The sequence below is a fragment of the Homo sapiens genome, chromosome 7, assembly GCF_000001405.40.
Source record: "Homo sapiens chromosome 7, GRCh38.p14 Primary Assembly".
Lineage (NCBI taxonomy): Eukaryota > Metazoa > Chordata > Mammalia > Primates > Hominidae > Homo > Homo sapiens.
Window position 1 is genome coordinate 7,354,520 of NC_000007.14, and position 17,823 is coordinate 7,372,342.

Sequence of the window (17,823 nt, forward strand, 5' to 3'; positions counted from 1 at the left end):
TTATATAGGGTATTAGAGCTAAAAATAATGTGCTTTATTATAAAGGCTTGTGATCAGCTTGTGACAGGCTATTAGTATTGTTATTCTCTTCTGCAACTATTGATTTCAGCAAGAATCTATGAGTATATTATTATTTCTAATGTGAAACTCTAAAACTAAGAATGCTTTTTGTTCTTAAAATATTGGGACACTTCCATAACTTCTGAGTCTTACTTAATTAATTAGCACCATTAACTTGTTCCCTTAACCATAAATATCTTGTGACCAAGAGTACCTGACTTCCTGGGAATGTAACCCAGCAGGTTTGGCTTTATGCAGCCGTTATTCAAGGTGGAGTCACTCTGGTTTGGATGCCTCTGACACCAAAGAGCTAATAGGCTCCTAAGAAGTTACCTGGCACGAAGATGGTTATCTAGTGAGGTGGAGCCAGCACTCAGAGTCACTTTTGTCCTAAGGACATTTCTCACCCAAGAAAGATGACTGAGATGCTGACAGGCTGAGCGGAATAAAGAAGGAACAAAAGTGCCAGCCACAAAAGGAAAGATGGGTAAATTGGACTGCATTAAAATTGAGTTTGTTAAAATAAGAAAAAAGTAAAAAGACAAACTATGAAGATATTAGCAACACAAATAATTAGCAAAGAATTATATTTCAGATACATAGGAATTCCAAGAACTCAATAAGGAAAAGACAAACAATCCAATAAAGAAAATCTTTCCTAATTATAAACAGGTATTTCACAGAAGCAGCAGCACAGAGGGTAAATAAACATGGTAAGGTGTCACCAGAGAAACGTAAATAAAAATAATATACTGGCCAGACACAGTGGCTCACACCCCAAACACTTTGGGAGGCTGAGGCTCATGGATCACTTGAGGCCAGGAGTTCAAGACCAGCCCGGACAACATGGCAAAACCCCACTCCTACTAAAAATACAAAAGTTAGCTTGGCATGGTGGCAGGCGGCTGTAGTCCTAGCTACTCAGGAGGCTGAGGTGAGAGGATCACTTGAGTCCGGGAGGTGGAGGTTGCAGTGAGCTGAGATTGTACCACTGCAACACTCTGGGCAACAGAGCAACACTCCATCTCAAAAACAAATATAAAATAAAATAAGATACCATTTTATACCTATACTAGCAAAATAAAGAAATCTGATAATACTAAATGTTGATAAGAATATCAAGCAATGGGAACTTTTATATGCAACTGGTGGGAATTTATAATAAATTGGCTCAGACACTTCAGGAAACAAATGGGTATGATATACTACTTTTGAATGTTTACATACTCTGCAACCCAGAAATCCTACTTTTGGGGAATATACCCCAGAAAAACACTGATGTGTGTGTACCAAGAGACATGAATAAGAGCATTCACAGCAACAGTGGCAGAATACTGAGGAAAATGAAATAGGAGAACTTAACTGATCATAGATGAGGCATATTGTGGTATATTCACACAAATATACAACCGTGGAAGTAAATGAACATGTATGAATTATAATGCAATAATCTAGTGAGTTGTAGAGAATTACAAATTATGATGGAAGTTTTTTAAAGCTCAAAAAAGCTAAATAATAAATTATCTAGAGTACATTTATATATCATAAAATATATGGATTAGTTATACCATTGAATGAAAATAGTTAGTTGCAGAAGACTAGCGTATGACACCATTGACACCATTTTTGTAAAACTGTAAAATAAGCAAGGCTAAATATTTATTGTTTGGCAACACATAGAGATATATAGAGTTTTACATGTAAAATTACCTATAAATGTCAACAGCACATTGACATGGTAAATACGAAGTTCAAAATGGGATATCCCTGGCATGGAATAGAGAGCTGGGATGGCGGAGGGCCACACGGGAAGCTGCAATAGAATTTTTGATGTTTGCTTCATTCTCTAGGTGATGTGTTCACTGGTGTTCATCTTATCATGTTTTTAAATTGACAAGCATGTTACATATACACCACAGAATACTATGCAGCCATAAAAAATGATGAGTTCATGTCCTTTGTAGGGACATGGATGAAGCTGGAAACCATCATTCTCAGCAAACTGTCACAAGGACAAAAAACCAAACACCGCATGTTCTCACTCATAGGTGGGAGTTGAACAATGAGAACACATGGACACAGGAAGGGGAACATCACACACCAGGGCCTGTTGTGGGGTGGCGGGGGAGTGGGGAGGGATAGCATTAGGAAATATACCTAATGTTAAATGACGAGTTAATGGGTGCAGCACACCAACATGGCACATGAATACATATGTAACAAACCTGTACTTTGTGCACATGTACCCTAAAACTTAAAGTATAATAAAAAAAATTGACAAACATGTTGCATTATCTTTTGTAGTATCAAATATTACATAATACAATTTTAATTAAATAAAAAAATTATACATATCATTATTTCTGCCAAGATGGCTATTCTTCCATCTCCTTCTTCCGTGAGTGCTCTTTTTTGCACTGTTGAATTGAATGAGGGTAGACCTGATAGAAGGAGAAAGTATTTTGTTTTTTGTTTTTGTTTTTGTTTTGAGACAGAGTCTTGCTGTGTCACCCAGGCTGGAGTGCAGTGGGGCAATCTTGGCTCTCTGCAACCTCTGCTTCCCAGGGTCAAGCGATTCTCCTGCCTCAGCCACCTGGGTAACTGGGATTACAGGTGCACACCACCAGGCCTGGCTAATTTTTGTATTCTTAGTAGAGACGGGGTTTTACCATGTTGGCCAGGCTGTTCTCAAACTCCTGACCTCAGGTGATCCACCCACCTCGGCCTTCCAAAGTGCTGGGATTATAGGCGTGAGCCACGGCGCCCAGCTGAGAAAGTGTTTTGTAAGATAAAATATGTGGCCGGGCGGGGTGGCTCAAGCCTGTAATCTCAGCACTTTGGGAGGCCAAGGCAGGTGGATCACGAGGTCAAGAGTTCGTGACCAGCCTGACCAACATGGTGAAACTTTGTCTCTGCTAAGAATACAAAAATTAGCTGGGCATGGTGGCGCATGCTTGTAATCCCAGCTACGCAGGAGGTTGAGGCAGGAGAATCGCTTGAACCCAGGAGCGGGAGGTTGCAGTGAGCTGAGATTTTCCCACTGCACTCCAGCCTGGATGACAGAGCAAGATTCTGTCTGGGGGAAAAAAAAAAAAAAGAAAGAAATATGCAAGTGCTGTCTGAACTCAGCTCAGAACTAATGCTCTTCCCAGACAGGATCTTGCAAAAGTATTATAAAATGACAGAGTCAATTCTCCGTTACTCTCCATTACTCGCATTTCAATTTGGTGGCTCACTTTTCAGTGTGAATCCTGTCTTTAATACACACTGTTCAAGAGTGGATGCCAACTTCAAGTGGTTCCTGGCTGTCAAGGGCCTTCCCATTCCACTCCATAAAATGGAAGGGCCCACTGACATATTTTAATGGAAGGGTATAAAAACCTTCTTTGTTTTAACATACATTAAACACTTGTTACCAAACATGTTGGAGGAATACAAAGTGACAGTCTGTGATACATTTAAGTAATTGTAATTCAGATTGGTTTCTCCCTATTACCACTTTCAGGGCAAGTGAGGCAAAAATCTAACTACCCTCACCATCCCGACTCCTATCCCAGCACTCCTGCGTAAACATTTACATCATTTCTAATTCTCACACCGAAGTCCTTCCTATCACCTACATCTTGCTACTGCGAGGGACATAAGGAGGTTAGGGAGGTGAGTGGGTGGAGGTATGGGCAGGGACAGGGGTAGGGGTTTGAGCTGACATAGTACATACAACAGGAATTAAAGGAATCAGAATCACATTGCAGGTTGTGAAGTAGATAGAGTCTGTGTATTGAAGTTACACAGCTCTAAGTCTAAATCCTCAGCTCTGAAACTTTTTAGTTGGGTGACAGTTGACAAGTTACTAAACTTCTCAGAGCCTCAGCTTTCTTACCTATATAAGTGGTTAATAATATGTACATCCTAGGGCTGTAGTGAGAATTCAATTACATGTATAAGTTGTAAATACTCAGTATACACTCAAATATAGTGCTGTATTTGTATTGGGTGAATATGTGGAAATTAGGGAGTTCTATGCTTTTGATAGAGACAGGCCAATTTACTTGCTCATCCTTGAATGCAGGTTTCTTGACATTCCTTTTCACTGTTGAATCTATTTCCTGAGCCATTACAGCCACTGAACCAAAATCGGGCACAAGAGTTGACCTGTTTGTCATAATACCATCGAACCACATATTCACCACAGTTTCCAGGCTTCAAGGCTTCCAAACATCTAGGATCTAGAGTGAGAAAAGGAAAATGTGTCACGGATTTTTCTTATACTGAAGACATGAAAAATAAAAACTGTATAAAGTTATATAAATAAACTTTATTCTTCATGCACACTAACAAACCAAGAAAATATGGTTCTAAGTAAGTGAAAGAAGGATTCCCTAAAACCCAAAATATTTCCCTCACCACCTGAAACTCTGCTACTAGATATTAATTCTTTTGAAAACATGAAAGTTTTTGATCCTCATGAAACCACATTAAAAATGTTTATTTCCCTGAAAGCCTAAGTGAGACTTCATTGGCTAATACTTTTGTGGGGATTAGAAAGACAGGACTTCTTTCATTTACACTGGATTTGATTTACAATCAAATTAATATTTGGAATAAAAAATATTTCCACTTTCTGTACACATTTCCTCCCATTCTGTTCACAGAAGGCACCACTATGATCACATGCAATTGCCCACTATCAAAGGAAAACTCTTTAAGTTACAAAAAAAAAAAAAGTAAAATGAAGGACTGTCTTTATATTACAATTATAGTTTTAAAAGAGCAGCTCTTGCAGGACACTAAAAACGTGATACAACTTTCTAACGTCATATTGTCTTATCGTAGAAATACACCTACTATAAGAAAGCATAGGACAGCTGTAACAATAAAGCCACATTGTCCTAATAAGGTTCCTTTAATTATGGAACTCCTCATTTGCTAAATCCCTTTTTATTGTTTGGTACTCTGGAGTGCCTTGATTAGTATTTCCTACTTCAGGAAGTGATGCCAAGGTGGGAGAAGCCAAAAAACACACAAAAAATCCCCAAATAGATAATTGCTATCTGGGACTTATATGTGATAAACTTTATTTTGCAATAGCTAAACCAGCACTTTCTCTTCCTTAAACATTTTCCCAGATTTGGGGTATGGCTCGGTTCATTTATTTTCTCAAACTTACCTCTAAATCTACCTCTACTATGAAGACTCCCTAGACCAAATGGAAATGAGCCATAGATTTCTACTACCTCTGCCCTTAAAAACAAAACCAAATAATATATATTGTGTAATTCATTTTAAAGATAATCTAAACTTTTGAGCACAAAAATTGTCTCTCATGTTCTGCAGAAAATATGTACATAATAATACATTTTCTATAGATATTAACTCCATAGAAAATATGTTAATGAATCAGAATCTAGATTTTCGCTTGTTTCTCTTTCCTGTGCAATAAAAGGATCACAAATTCAAATGCCTACATGTGTGAAGGGCACATGTAAGACAATAGGGAGCAGTACGGACTACGGTAAACAGGAGAATGCAATCCCCTCTAAAGGCATTCAAATTAAAATAATAAATAAGAACTTTGAAATTCTTCATAGACCAAATTTACTCCACAGTTTTCAAATTCTACATATAGTCCAGTGAAAACTATATTTTGTCCTGCTTGTTTAGAATCATAACATTTTCTCTCTGGGTAACCCTGTGCCTTCCTCACATTGTAGATACAGTAGCAGATTGGCAGATCTCTCTTTCCTTTGTGCACCAAATCTGTGCACAAGACTGTAGAATCAAAATGGGACTTGGAGTTCTGGTTTACCTACCCTCTGCCCCATCCACAGGGGTGCTGAGCAGTGGCCTGGGGGTGGTGGTGGCCTCAGATGAGGTAGTGGCAGGCAGATCATCAGCCCACGTTGGCTCTGGAGCCTTATCATCTTCATCCTGGTCTCTGGTGACACTCAACTACACAAAAATATTCACATTTTGTGTTTCTGATAATATCAAGTAAAAAAAATACTAGTTTGCTTTTGGGAACATATAAAGACTAGTTCAGCCATGCTGTGTTTCCCTAGCTCTCTGATACTAACTATTTCAAATAAAACTCAGGAAATAATGCCCCTCCTCTGTGTCATGCATCCCTCAATACCCAAGTTGTGGATTTTCCCACCACTTGGTGTGGGTGTATTTCTGTGTACACACACATATACACACATACACACACACACGCAGCCCACCTCCAGGCACAGATTTTTGGGTGCTGGGACATCCAAAGCAGATGTGAAAGATGCAAAGTTGAGAGGAGTTTATTTTCATTCTTAGCCACTGCTATGAGAAAATAACCACTCATTTCTTTAACATTTTTATGGCCTTTCTCCATTTCCTAACACTAGACGTCTTAACAATATATTCCAAAATATTTACCATGAACTCAGTCAATTTTGAGATTGGGAATTAGGGTAGCAGAAGACAATAATACAGCTGAAATAAAAACAATAGTGGCCACTTTTTGATTGCTTACCCAAATCTCAGCTGCAGACACCTTTGCCTGCTCTATTATCAGACCCCAGCTAATACCAAATGCTGTAGGATGCTTAACATATAAGATGCTCTAAGAAATGTTTGATATCTAAAGAACAAAGGATTTTTGTTTCAAAAGCAAATTTTCTGGACTAAAATTTCCAAGTTTCATCCAAATTTATGATATATAACGAAACAAGAAAGGCATTTTACTTTTTTTTTAAAAATAGTGCCTTTATAGTAGAATGATTTATAATCCTTGGGTATAGACCCAGTAATGGGACTGCTGGGTCAAATGGTATTTCTGGTTCTAGATCCTTGAGGAATTGCCACACTGTCTTCCACAATGGTTGAACTAATTTACACTCCCACCAACTGTTTAAAAGTGTTCCTATTTCTCCACATCCTCTCCAGCATCTATTGTTTCCTGACTTTTTAATGATCGCCATTCTAACTGGCATGAAATGGTATCTCATTGTGGTTTTGATCTACATTTCTCTAATGACCAGTGATGATAAGCGTTTTTTCATGTTTGTTGGCTGCATAAATGTCTTCTTTTGAGAAGTATCTGTTCATATCCTTCGCCCATTTTTTGATAGAGTTTTTTCTTGTAAATTTGTTTAAGTTCTAGTATAAAGACACACGCACACATATGTTTATTGCAGCACTACTCACAATAGCAAAGACTTGAACCAACCCAAATGCTCATCAATGATAGACTGGATAAAGAAAATGTGGCACATATACACCATGGAATACTATGCAGCCATAAAAACATGAGTTCATGTCCTTTGCAGGGACATGGGTGAAGCTAGAAACCATCATTCTTAGCAAACTAACACAGGAACAGAAAACCAAACACCACATGTTCTCATTCGTAAGTGGGAGTTGAACAATGAAAACACATGGACACAGGGAGGGGAACATCACACAATGGGGCCTGTCTGTGGGTGGGGGCCTAGGGCAAGGAAAGCATTAGGAGAAATACCTAAAGTAGATTACAGGTTGATGGGTGCAGCAAACCACCATGGCACGTGTATACCTATGTAACAAACCTGCACATTCTGCACATGTATCCCAGAACTTAAAGTATAATAATAAAAAATCATGTCAGTCATTCTTGACAATTACCAGGAGCTAGACAAATCTTTTATGGGAATAATTATATTCTTTTGCAAATTTTTCCTTGGATTCCAGCTGTATGCAATTGAATCAGTCATTCACCTGAGTCCTGACACTTGGTTATTTATCCTTGCAAGAGTTTCTCTTATTTGTTTGTTTGCATTTTTATTTATTTAAATAGTCAAATCTGTGACTGAGATAGTTTTTTATGCTTTTTTACCCAGGGATCCTGGTATGCTGTCATCATTAACTGCCGTCTGCCAGCTAAGCTGTTCTATTGCTTTTGATTTTTTTTGTGTGTGCATGCATACATACACACACAAGAGGGAAAAAGTAATTAGTACTATTACTCATGTATGCGTATTTTTTACAGTGATTAAATTACTATCAGGTGACTTAGAGCAAAGATTTTTCCATTTGGATTGGTCATTAGCCCTATATAAAGGGCACACAATTCAAATACAATAGGAAATTTTCACTGTCCCCTAAACACAACTTTTGGTACAAGTGGAGACAAAACTGTGGATTACTTGAGGTTCCTCTTTCTTTCAGAATGATCCTGTATGCAGATACAGCAATTTGAATGTGAACTTTTAAAAATAATCATTATACTAGAGAATTTAAAGCTAGAGGAAAACTTTCTTGGTCCCTTATTTTCTTTTTTATTTTTTATAGAGATAGGGTCTCGCTGTGTTGCCCAGGCTGGTCTCAAACTCCTGGCTTCAAGTGATCCTCCACATTGGCCTCCTGAGCTCAGCACCGAGTCCCTTATTTTCTACTGGGGGGAATACAAAGCTATAAATGATTAAGAAACTTTCCAAAAGTTATTGGTAAGCTAGTGACAAACCTTCAGGAAAAAAAGTACTGGTTTTTTTTGCCTGCATGTATTTGGTTTTAAGCAACAAATAAAAGTTTGAGGAGTAAGTTTATCAAACATAAAAGCCAACTGACATTAGTCTACACTTCAGATATACGGTCTAGAAGGTGAGACTGTTCCATTGAAGAGGCGGGCTAAGCAGCACAGTTTTCTTCAAAGAATTAACTCAGCCTTTAAATCTTTACCTTGTTCAAGTCCTGAGTCCTCAAAAGTTATATTTTACCTCTTCTAAGCTTAGGAATGTGTGTTTCCATTCTCAATCACATAATCATTTGGAAATTTTGATATCTGTTAACATTACTCCACAGATTCCAAGACAAGCAAAATTAACTTTAATAAATGAAAATAATTTCATCAATTTTCTGGCTCAGTGAGATGTCAGATTATTTCAACAAATGCATAATTATTACGGCTTGCTATTTTTATAATTTCCTTACCACAAAAGCAAGCATGTTAACTGAAAGGAATTTTAGAAAATGTGGATATCAAAAAAAAGAAAACAGAAATCAGAAGTAATTCTACCTCCTAAAGATAGTCATTGTTGGCATTCAGGTATATTTTTCCCTAGTCTTTTTTCTAGGTGCATATCCATTTTTTTGTTGTTGTTGTTGTTACAAAAAAATACTGTATGTTCAGTTTTCTATGCTCTATGCTATTTTAAAAAATATACTATATTATGATCATTCTATATATTTCACCATGACTCTATAACATTTATTATTATTATTTTGAAGACAGAGTCTCGCTCTGTTGCCCAGCACGATCTCGGCTCACTGCAACCTCCACCTCCCAGATTCAAGCAGTTCTCATGCCTCAGCCTCCCAAGTAGCTGATATTACAGAGGTGAGCCACCACGCCCAGCCTCCTCCACATTTTTATAACCTTGTCTTCCACTACTCCCAGAATATCTGGTCAGGACCTTTCATTCCTTCTTCCTCTCTATTCTGCCTCAGGCTCTCAATATCAACCCTTCCACCACAGCCTAGGAAAAGTTGGTCTCCATCCGCAAAACCTTCTCCAATAACCCAGTCAGTACTGATTCTCCCCTTCTAGATGATGCACAGTACCTTCTGACTCTTCTATACTCAGTGCTGATTGTGTAGAATTTAACCTTTAGTCCTATCCTATTGAAGAGTAACAGAATATGCCTCCCAAAATATGCCACTTTGGCACATTGATTATTTTGAACTGAAGGCAATTGAGAATCAGATATAAGCTCATTTGTCTAAATGCAGGACATACATTCGTAAAGGAATCCCTCCTCAGAAAATCAGGGTAATGACTCGAGAGGAGTCTAGACCCTTACTTAGCCCAGAGATACACCAGAGGACTCTACATAAAAAACTATTCACTAATCCTTATCTTCCATTAATTCACCCATATGTTTACCTTCCCACCATCTGCTGCTGTAGAAAGTCCTTTCCCATTGTCGTCACTCCTCTAAGCTCTATTGTTCTTTCGTTAAGATGCTATATAAGACCAAGTTCTAACCACCCCTTTGAGCTACTCATCTCCATGCTCCTATGTGTATATGCTACATGTTAATAACTTCTGTGTGCTTTTCTATTGTTAATCTGTCTTTTGTCAGTCTAATTTACAAGGCCTTACCTAGCTAATAACCCTAAGATGGGTAGAGGAAAAAAAAATTTCCTCCCCTCCACTATCTTGTATAATTTCTTGTTTCCTATATATAAATACCACTTCCCTGATAAAAGAAATTATCTTTTTTCTTTCTTTTCTTCTTTCTCTACCTCTTTTTTTCCATAGCATAGAATAGGCAAAAAGTATCCATTAAATAAATTCACAATGGGTTAATCTTTCTGTTACACTCGTCTTCAGGTTGAACTTAATAAGGATATGCAAAGAGCGAAAGAGAAAGAGATAAATTTGCATTATTTAATTCCTCTAGACTTTAACGTCATCATTTTTCAAATAAAAAAAATTAGGCCCTAACATGACTTCCAACTCTAAAAGTTGGATTTAACCAACACAAACGACTGGCAGAATACACACCCAATTCACGATAGTGATTGCCTCTGGAGAGAGGAGGAAAAAGAGCTCTGGAGGGAAAAAGCTAGGACTTTATCTGAAGCAAGAGTGAATGAACAAATGGAAACATTGGTTACTTCTGGGTGGTGAGTACGCAGTCAAATGTTTGTTTCTATTCTTGTTAATAAATCTTAAATCTGAAAACACAAGCTTGCCTGTCAACTCTGCACATTTCTACTCCAGCCACACTGGCCTGCCTTGGAAAAGAAGGCTAGCTCCAGCTCTAAGCAGGGACACCATAGTAAAAGGCACAAATGAGTTGTCTAGGGACACCTGAGAGCCGACACCTGGAGTCCAGGGCTGCTCCGTGTAGCTGGACAAGCAGACGTGTTATCACCATTCTCTTTCAGCCTTTGAGCTGATCTTTAAGGGGAGGAAAACAGACTCAGTGCAGTATCCCAAGAACATGTATGCATGAGCTAAGAAGGATTGCTGACCAGGTGCCACATCCAAAAGGTCTTTTGCTTTCTGATTTCCAAACATTTTCCTTGAATTTATTACCCAGAATTTTGCATATATTACAAAGTCTTCAAATCTGAACACATGTCTGCTCTGGATGAATGCTAATGATCATCTGCATTAGTGTTTGTGTTAAGACTTAGCATATTCCCAGGAGTGTGGGTCAAAATTTCTCCAATTTGGCTCTGGGGATTCTACTGCCACTGGGCTCCACAGCCAGCATCTTCAAATTGTCTGGCTTCTCAGGAGTCCTTCTTGATTGATTCTCCCCAAGAATCAAACACACTTCTTTGTCAGGTCTCTCTGCACTCAAATACTTAAACTGAAGGTTACTTATTTGCATTTTAAAGTTACTGGGGCCTTTAGGAACACCTTGAGTTTGGGCTGCACCTCTCTGGATTCACTGTGGCTTTCAAAAAGGGTGTAATGCAGGATTTTGTTCTGTTTAAACCTCTCATACATTAGTGCAGTAAAATAGCCTGCATTCTGGCTTTACCCAGTAAACATTTTTGACAGCTGTAATCATATACTTTTAGAACAGGAAGAACATTCTAGTAACATTCTTTAATTTTACAGATGAGAAAACTGAGACCTCAGGAAAATAGGTGATTCCCCTAACATCAGGCAGCTATGAGATTTCATTTCTAAGATGTCATTCATCATGAGATATACCATAAATTTTAAAATAGTTTTGAAAAAAGACCACACACATTAAATAGATGCATCCCAATTTCAGAAATAATAAAATCGAAAAACTACAGACTTTGGAGTCAAGAGAATAGTCCTTAGCTTCAGCAATGAGACCACAAGCCAGGTTTCCTGACTTCCAGGTCTAGAATATTTCTTCTAGATCAGTTAGGAATATGTTTATTATTTTTGTTTTTTTCCTCTTCCATAACACAGGTGCATGTTATATTCTGAGGGTAACAAGTCTATTAGAAGCAATAAATAATACTTGTACAGCAACCTTTTGTAGTGATACTAATAATTAGTTGTTACGCAGGGTTTTATGAAGAATTTGAATGTTTTTCACGATCACGGTGAGAGAATGCTAATTTTATTTTTCGCTAAGAACATATTTTGGTAGAAAGAAGAAGAGGAAGGAAGGACAGAGTTAGGTGTCTTAAGGGAGTGACAGAAGGGACAACAGTGAAAAGGAAGAGACAACAAAAGGGAAATGGTACTTCTGAGATCATTGTTTACTAGCTTTGCAGTATTGCCTAGGGTAGGCTCAGGAAGGATCTGAGAATAGGAAGGTTGTAACAGATTCATTTTATTTTAAATGTTTGGATACTGTAATTATACTTATTAAAGGTGGGTGTGCATGCACAGAGGCATAAATATGTTCTTGTATGTGTGTATGTATATACTATGTGTGTGTGTGTGCGCGCGTGCATGTCTGTGCAGTCAAGTGCTGCATAATGACATTTTGGTCAACCACACACATACATGACAGTGGTCCCATCCGATTATAATACTGTATTTTTACCCTTTTCTATGGTTAGATATGCTTATATATATAGATACTTACCACTGTGTTACAGTTCCCTACAGTAGTACAGTGATATGCTGTGCAGGTTTGTAGCCTAGAAGCAATAGGCTAAACTATCTAGCCCAGGTGTGTAGTAGGCTATACTATCTAGATTTGTGTGAGTACACTCTATGATGTTCACACAAAAACAAAATTGGCTAGCGAAACATTTCTCAGAAAGTGTCCCTGTCATTAAACGATGCATGACTGCATGTCAAAGATTTAAATGTGAATAGAAATGCACGTTTGTTCAAACTAAATATCAATAAGGAAATAATTGTTTAAAAATTCAGTTTTGCATTGGTGCTTCTTTAAAAAGAGCCAGAATGAGAAAGCCTAGAGACAAGAGGCACTATCCGAGAAGGTCAAGTTCATTGCAAGGTCCCACTATCTGGGTCAAAGTTCCCCTAGAGAGACCTAGCTGATGTTCAGTTTCCCTTCATGTGGCTCTTGGTGTTATAAATCCAGAGTATTTTGGTTGTATTTTTCTTACGTCCTCCCCTCCCCAGCTACTAGAAAGCTTCATATGTCCTAGTCTGTTAATGTCATTTGTCTCTCAAGGCCATCAGGCTTCCTGGGATGTGATACAGAGGGATCTGTTCTTACTTTTCCTCATTACGTGTCATAACTGCCTTGGATGTCCCTCAGGCACCTCCACTTTACATGGTGCAAACTAAACTCACTATTTTCCTTTAAAAAAAAAAAAAACCACCCTGCCTTTTATATTCTCCATCTCAGTATATAGTGTTTCAATCCATCTCATCTCCATGCTAGAAACCTGACAGTCCTACCCAAACCCCTCCCTCTCCCTCACCTCCAATCCTTTCAATCACTATATCCTGTTAATTCTACCCTAGAAATGGCTTTTCAATCTGTGCCTCCTTTTTATTCCCAGTGCCCCTGCCTTCTTTCAGGGCCTCATTATCATTTTCCTGGACTATCACGCCTCATATCTCAGCCTCCAGTCTCCTCACCTCCTCCTCCTAGGTATGTTTCACACAGCAATCAGGGTTATTCTTTCTGTGAACCAAATATGACTATATGATTCTTGCTTTTAAAACTCCTCTGCTGTCTCTGCCTGCCTGGCCTATAGATGAAGTTCAAGCTCCTTGCCTTAATACATTAAGACATTTATAATTAGTCCTTAAATTACCTGTCCAGCTTTAGCTCTCATCACTCTGCCACCCACACCCTAGGCTACAATTAGACTGAATTTGTTCAACTTTCTTGAAATGCCATGGCACTTTAAAGACTCCCTTTGCCTACTGTTTTTTTTGTTTTTTGCTAGGAATACCCTTCCCCCTGCTCTTCTCTTGAAAAACTCCTAGTTATTCTTAAAACTTGACTCAATGTCACCTCCTCTGTGATGCCTTATGTAATGAACTAAATGTTTATGTCCCTCCAAAAATCATACATTGAAACCTGAATCCCCAGTGTGATGGTATTTGAAGGTGGGGACTTTGGGAGGTGATTAGGTCATGAGGGTGGAGCCTTTATGAATGGGATCAATACCCTTATAAGAAGTGATGTGAGAGATGAGCTGTCTCTCAGCCATGTGAAGACATAACGAGAAGGTGGCTGTTCACAAGCCAGAAAGCAAGCCCTCACCAAACACCAGATTTTAGACTTCCCAACCTCCAGAACTGTGAAAAATAAATATTTGTTGTTTAAGCCACTCAGTCTATGGTATTTTTGTTATGGCAGCCCCAACAGACTAAGACACTTTCCCATTACTCTTCCCTGAAATTAATTGCATCATCTCTGTGCTTCCTTCATAGCTCTGGCTAAAATTCATAATGCATCTTGTACTTACCTATCTCCCTGAAAAAATGTGAGCTTCTCTCAGGCAGGAGCCATGTCTTAAGAGCCACACCATCTATCACAGCAGTTAATAATCAATACATGCTATTGGAATTCATTGGTATTAATATAGCAAAAAATGTGATTCAGTGATTATAAGGAGGGCTCAGTTTAAGCATCAATTCCTGGATGAAACCTGAGCTTGCTCTTGTTTAGGAAGGCTTTAGAAAGGGATGTTGATTGACTAGGAGAGGGACAAAGTGGTAAGTCACACAAACAGGAGAGGCCCCAGTAGCGGTCCATGCTCAGGAGGAGATAGACTGTGTCCATTATTGTCTGGAATTTACTTTAAAATGCACAATATAGATCAGGGTTGGCAAACCACTGTGGGCCAAATCTGAGTCACTATCTGTTCTTGTGAGTAAGTTTCATCAGAACTTATTCATACTCATTCATTTAAGTATTATCTATGGCTATGTTTCTACTTCAAACGCAGAGCTGAGTAATTGGAACAGAAATCAAATTACCTGAAAATCCAAAACTATTCAGTATATGGCCCTTTACAGGGTTTGCTGACACCTGGTATAGACCATGGAGTATAAATGTTTGTGTTAATTTCAATCTGCAATTTAGTAGAATCTATTGCCCTGACTGGAATTACCCATTTTGCAGTTGGTTACTATTTAATCAAATAGAAATATGTTAGAGGCCTTTCTGCACTTTTGTGAACAGGATACGAGAATCTAGTGAGTTCTATAGCCTGTGCCCTTAGGAATGGTATCCTAGGCCTGATTCCTGAATGGCCCTGAGTCCAACTACTGATCCGAATGTTCCTTAGGGCCTTAGTCTAAGTAGACTGTTAGCTGAATCCTGATGTTAGAACACTGTTGCACATGCTCATGATCACTCTTTCATGTACATGAAGGCTTCAGAAAAGGGCAATGCAAGGACTTTACTGAGCTTACAGAACAGGGGCATGACTGTTATGTGCCTGCTTGCCAGAGGATGTCCATGGGGTTAATAGAAATGGGTCTAGACTTGCCCAAGTTGCAACTTGGTGGAGAAGAGACTATAGCACTCATCGGTAACTAAAAAAGGCTCCCCCATTTTCTCCTTAAAAAAACTAATATTTGCCCATAATCTGATTGGCTGAAGTCAGTTCCCAGAAGCTTGCTATGAGGACAGTCACATTTGTTTCAATTGATTCAGGAGGTGGTTCTTCACATACTATGTGATTGAGGAGCTCTGAAACAGAGCATCTACTTTGCACCATATGCATATATAGCCTCCCTCACAGTCCTCACTCAGAGCACAGGAGGTGGAAGCCAAATGAGCAAACACATGGCTTGGAGTGTGGGAGAGTGGCCAGTTGGGCATATGCGTATTTAGAAAAGACATGAGAGGGTACAAAGTGGGAAGCAGATGCACAGACGAAGAGGGAGAGTTGTGGCCTGGTATGAAAGGCACTGCACAGCATGGCAACTAGGTGAATTCAGAGTGTTGTGTTAATCTGTTTCAGCATACATGGTTACTTTGATGGTAATAGGAGTATAATATAAAAATATTATCAGCAACATTTAATAAATACTTATAAAATATGCAAGTTTTTAAAAATATCCTACAAAACCTAATGCTATTTCAGAACTGGAAATCTAGAGTCAAGATACTAACATTTAGAGCCAAGGACCTAAAAATACACGTGCCTCAGCTGATTCTTGACAATGCAGGGCAGAATGATCTTTGATATGAAACAGAGAGAATACACCATTTTAAGCTCACAAAGTAAGTGAGACAGTTACTTACTGACTCAGAAATTTCTTTTTGAGGCTCTGGAGTAGATTCACTGAGTTCTTCCCCTGACATCCCAAATCCAGGTTGAGGTGACGATGAACCAAAAATTTGAACGAGATAGGAATCAAAATCCTCACAAATTTTTTGAAACAATTTTTGCTTCAGGGTGTCTTTTAAAAAAGAAGTAGAAAAGAGAGATAGTAGAAGCAATGAAACAATACTTAAAACTCATTTAAAAAGATCTGCACTCTCCTTAAAATATGTAATTTCCCATTACTTGAAATCAACTGCTAAGTTAACGAACTTATAAAAGCATTTTTACATCCTGTGTAAGAGGTCATCTAAAATAATATATATGACACAAAGAGGCAAAAGAATGACTTGAATGTATGTTCATCCAAAGTGTCTCTGTTCAACGTGAATCACTCCTTGTCAAGAGCTAGCCTCACCCATAATAAGTTGAATTGGCAGCTACCTCTGGTTTTAAGGAGAGCAAATGGCCAGCCAGTTGCAAATATTCTTTACAGGCTGTAACAAATTACTAACTCCAGATATAATGATAAAGCTCTTCAAGGATTAAAATATAAGTTGGCTCTGAAATGTCTTTGGCTATTCTGACACATTCACAGCTGGGTGAGATTGAATATATCAGATAAACAAACCCACCAGTCAGCCAGCAGGGTACTGATGAAGTAGAACCCTAGGTTAGAAAGCTCTGGAGAAGGTGAGAAATAGCAAAAAAGTTTCTGAGAATGGTATGCTTTCCTTAGGGCCAGTGTGCTGGTACACGGCATAGGCAGGGCATGAGGCACTGATGGGCTGTGCCCAGCCACATCAGACTCCACTCCCAGGTGGGTGAAGGAGGAAGGATGAAGCCAAACTGAAGCCTTTCACTTACTTCACAAACTTGCCAGGTACAGGCCTGCCAGAATGAATAATCGGTTTCCAAAGAATTGGGATAAATTTTATTATAAAGTCATACTGACCATAATTTAATCATAGCTTAAATTAGATCAATGTCCTAGGATGGCTCATTAGTAAATATCAGTTAATGTGAAAGGATAAACTTAGCATAGAGAAGCCCATCAGATTAGCACTGGCTGTACAATAAATTCTATTTATTTTTTATTTATTTTTTGAGACAGAGTCTCGCTCTGTCGCCCAGGCTGGAGTGCAGTGGTACAATCTCGGCTCACTGTAACCTCCGCCTCCCAGGTTCCAGCAATTCTTCCGCCTCAGCTTCCCGGGTAGCTGGGACTACAGGCACACGCCACCATGCCCAGCTAATTTTTGTATTTTTAGTAGAGACGAGGTTTCACCATGCTGGCCAGGCTGGTCTCTAACTCCTGACCTCGTGATCCACTGTGCCTGGCATTGTACAATGAATTTTAAAAGGTTGTTCTTTGGCTGGGCACGGTGGCTCATGCCTGTAATCCCAGCACTTTGGGAGGCCGAGGCGGGTGGATCATGAGGTCAGGAGATCGAAACCATCCTGGCTAACACAGTGAAACCCTATCTATACTAAAAATACAAAAAATTAGCCGGGCATGGTGGCGCGTGCCTGTAGTCCCAGCTACTTGGGAGGCTGAGGCAGGAGAATCACTTGAACCCGGGAAGCAGAGGTTGCAGT

General features: G+C 38.9%; 1 protein-coding gene and 1 long non-coding RNA gene across 8 annotated transcripts in view; one reads left to right on the forward strand and one right to left on the reverse strand.

Moving 5' to 3' along the window:
• The window catches only part of LOC107986764 (uncharacterized), a 106,009-nt gene that overhangs the window by 83,116 nt on the left and 5,070 nt on the right, over window positions 1–17,823 (forward strand). The window lies entirely within an intron of this gene.
• Window positions 1–17,823, reverse strand: part of COL28A1 (collagen type XXVIII alpha 1 chain) — a 205,677-nt gene that overhangs the window by 16,326 nt on the left and 171,528 nt on the right. For 5 of the 7 annotated variants that reach the window (XM_011515358.4, NM_001037763.3, XM_011515359.2 and 2 more), the window contains 3 exons: window positions 16,206–16,363; window positions 5,871–6,009; window positions 3,356–4,286 (listed from right to left, as the gene is read on the reverse strand). In XM_011515358.4, the coding sequence (XP_011513660.1) occupies window positions 4,114–4,286; window positions 5,871–6,009; window positions 16,206–16,363 (470 nt within the window). In that variant the 3' untranslated portion in view covers window positions 3,356–4,113. Of the gene's footprint in view, window positions 1–1,683; window positions 2,502–3,355; window positions 4,287–5,870; window positions 6,010–16,205; window positions 16,364–17,823 lie in introns of those variants that run through there. The other 2 variants (XM_011515360.3, XR_926936.4) reach the window with 2 other exon arrangements.